The sequence below is a fragment of the Homo sapiens genome, chromosome 2 (genome assembly GCF_000001405.40).
Source record: "Homo sapiens chromosome 2, GRCh38.p14 Primary Assembly".
In the NCBI taxonomy this organism is placed as follows: domain Eukaryota; kingdom Metazoa; phylum Chordata; class Mammalia; order Primates; family Hominidae; genus Homo; species Homo sapiens.
In genome coordinates, this window is record NC_000002.12 from 118,643,702 (window position 1) to 118,647,420 (window position 3,719).

Here is a 3,719-nt window from a genome sequence, read left to right on the forward strand (position 1 = left end):
ATGGCCAATAATCAACAAATCTACAACAGTGATCAAAGAAATTTAGAAAATAAGTGGTTAAACAAAGAAAAGAGGTTGATTGCTTTGTTTTACTTGAAGGAATTTTCGAAGTTTTTAAAATGCTTATTGGAAATTTCCAAAAAGACAATATTGTATACAAAGTTTTCCAAATGTATCAGACCATGGACCTCTTTTTTCTTTTTCTGTTTTTTGTCTTTTCATCTTGAAAAATTGATATTACTCAAACCTGAAAATATTTAATGACTCTTCCAGACTTAAAAACCTTTTGATTTCCAGACAGAGTAGGTTTTTTTCAATTTGAATGAGGGGGGAAAATGGCCAGGTCAGAAAGCCCCTGGCTTCAAGTTTCTTTTGTGCTGTAAACTACGGAAAGAGTGTGTCCTCCTTTCTTCCTGGTTCCTTAACTGGCTTCTTTTTGGCTAACTGAACTCTCTTATCCCTTATTCTCTCCTGCTGTGAGTGGTTCTTGCCTTTGCTAAGGGTTTGAATATGCATTCAAAGTGAAAGGAGTGGATCTTTAATTTCAATGATAAGAAAGTCACTGTGAAACGTTGCAGACTGCAGAAAATAGACCTGTTCCTAATACCTCCTTGGTAAGCTAATACCTCCTGGAAAGCTGAATTGTCTTTGTCGGCTTATCAGTTGGAGTTAGGCCCACCCATCAGGGTGGCTCCATTCCTGGTACATATTCTGCCCCATTCCCAGCTCATGCTCTGCACGGGTGGGGACATCATTGTCTGAGTAGAGCTCCCTACCTGCTGAGAAGACCTGACAGGGACACAAGGCTGAAGTTGGGTCCTGCTGTCTTCCCATACTCCGGAGGCCACCTGGTGCTTAATGATCTCCCAGGAATAGAATAGAAGACAAGTCATTTTGTTATGTTTCTCTTTAACAAATACAGGTTGCTTTTTCATCTTTTTCCATGGATAGGGAGGTAGAGGGAAGAAATGGGCAGGAATAGAGACAAAAGGGATCTGCGGGTTTTCCTTATCTGTGTTCTCTGGGTTCCCTACGACCATTCTAGTTTTATTCTAGAATCTTTGGAAAACACAGAGAAATAGAATGAAAATAAAACTTGCTCATAATTCCATCATCCAAAATTAATATTGTTAATACTTCAGGTATATTTCCTTTCAGAACTTTATTGTTTGTACATATACAATCTTGCATACAATAGTCTGCCCTTATCCACATTTCAGTTACAGTGCATAGCACAATAAGATATTTTGAGAAATAAAGAGAGAGAATACATTTTTGTAACTTTTATTGCAATACGTTGCCATAATTATTCTATTATTGGTTATTTTTGTTAATCTCTTACTGTACCTAATTTATAAATTAAGCTTTATCACAGATATGTATGTATAGGAAAAACATAGTATAGATAAGGTTTATTGCCATCCAGGGGTTCTGGCATCCACTGGGGCCCTTAGAAAATATCCCCTGAATATAAGAGGAAACCACTTTATACACACACACACACACACACACACACACACACACATATTTTTAACAAAATTGAGAACATGCTGTATGTAATTTTGTGTCCTATTTTCATGAAGAGAACTTGGTTATTTTGGCTGTATCATATTCCATCTTCAGTTGTATCTTTCCCTGTGTTACTTGTATATGTCTGTCACTTTGCATGTCTGCCATCAATATTTGTTCATAAGCCTTTGTGTCTGTGATTATTTCATGAAGCAGTATTCCTAAACAATGGAATTACCTGAGGATATAAAAAGTTTCGAGGCTCATGATGCACATGAAGAAATTACACTTGAGAAAAGTACAACATTCTATTTCAATTAGCAATATGTGATAGTGCCCTTTCAATCACTGCATTACTGATATGACAGATTATTTTATTCTTCTAGTATGAAAAAGAAAATTGGTATTTGTCTTCTGTGCTAATTTCCATCTCATTGACTAGTAGCAAGAATGACATTTTTATATGTGTATCTGGTCCCTTTAATTTATTTCACCAATTATGTAACCATATTTTTATTTGTTTTTGAGACAGGGTCTTGCTGTGTCACCCAGGCTGGAGTGTAGTGGTGTGATCGTAGCTCACTGCAGACTCAAACTCCTGAGCTCAAGCAATCCTCCTGCCCCGCCTTCTGAGTAGCTAGGACTACAAGGTGCATGTCACCATGTCCAGCTAATTAAAAAAACAAAACAAAACAAAACAAAACAATAAAAAAAAAACAACTGTGTGCAGACAAGGTCTCTCTATATTGCTCAGGCTCGTCTTGAACTCCTGGCCTTAAGCGATTCACTCACCTCGGCCTCCCAATCACTCCTGGGATTACAGGCATGAGTGACCACACCCAACCTGGCTCTTTTAAATTGTTGTTTTTGTTTGTTTGTTTTCCGGAGACAGAGTCTCGCTCTGTCACCCAGGCTGGAATGCAGTGGCGCTATCATAGCTCACTCAGCCTTGCACTCCTAAGCTTAAGCGATCCTTCCACCTCAGTTTTCCAAGTAGGTGGGACTACAGGAGTGCACCACCATGGCCAGCTACCTTTTTAAAAAAAAGTTTTTTGTAGAGACAGGGTCTTGCTATATTGCCCAGGCTGGTCTCAAGCAATCCTCCCACTTCAGGCTCCCAAAACTCTGGAATTACAGGAGGAGGTGGGTGCCCAGCCTCATAGCAGTCATGTTTTTTGCCTAAGAATTTATCATATTTTTAATGTTTTACTTACTAATTTTAAAAGCTTTTCTTATATATAAAATATTCATGCTTCAATAATCTTGAAACTATTTTGCTCAAGTTGTCATTTGTCTTCCAAATTTTTCATGTAATCAAATTCTTTTTCTTTTTGCTTTTTTAAATTTTTTATCTTTTTACTTTAAGAAAAGTTTTACGATTCCCATGTCAATTAAATGTCTGTCTATATTTTTTCTCATTTCGCAGTCTTCTGTATCTATGTACATTTATCCTATGTAAAAGGAGATTTATTTTAAAACTAGGAGCTACTTTGAAAGTAATGAACATCTTTGTCATGTATAATCATTGTATCCAAAACCATAGGGTTTATTCAGAATTTCTACATCTTCCCATGAAATTACATAGTTTTCTTCCCATGGGTCCCAGGCCTTTCTTGTTATTGTTGAGCATAGGACCCTGTTTCCTTTTGCTGCTGAGATTTTTCTTTTTACCCCTTTATACCTTTTTAACAGGATATGGCTAGCATTTGGGAAATCTAGTGATTGTTGCCAATTTGTTTCATATAAGGCAACTTTGCTGAACTTTCTTATTAATTCTAAAAGATTTTCCATCCATGATCTAGGGTTTTCTAGCCATGTAATCACACCATTTGCAAATGGTGGTTAGTACGCCTCCTCCTATCAGATTGTTACTCCACTACTTTCTTTTGTTTTTGTTCTTACAGTGTGAGTGGGCATTCTTGTTTTATTTCTGCTATTTAATGGAGTTTTTTTTGTATTTTATTATTAACTGATATAAAATGTTGGTATGAGTGTGGTATTCTTATAATATTAAAAAGTATCCTATGATTCATGGCTTCCTAAATATTTTTAAAGCAAAAGTCGTTGTTTAATTTTGTCTACTGACCTCTTAACATCTAGTGAGATTAGCACAAGTAATACTATCCTGTCATGTTTCCTTGATTATAAAATACACTGTAATTTGAGACATGCTGAAACATGAAAAAGAAAGGTACATTTTAGAATGGAGA

At 36.2% G+C, this 3,719-nt stretch overlaps 1 annotated feature.

Moving 5' to 3' along the window:
• Window positions 218-1,004: an enhancer, noted in NCBI's record as "OCT4-NANOG hESC enhancer chr2:119401495-119402281 (GRCh37/hg19 assembly coordinates)". NCBI's record gives its function as "activates a minimal SCP1, AML or CMV promoter by ChIP-STARR-seq in naive and primed H9 embryonic stem cells {active_cell/tissue: H9 hESC(naive and primed)}" and the evidence as "EXISTENCE:reporter gene assay evidence [ECO:0000049][PMID:30033119]".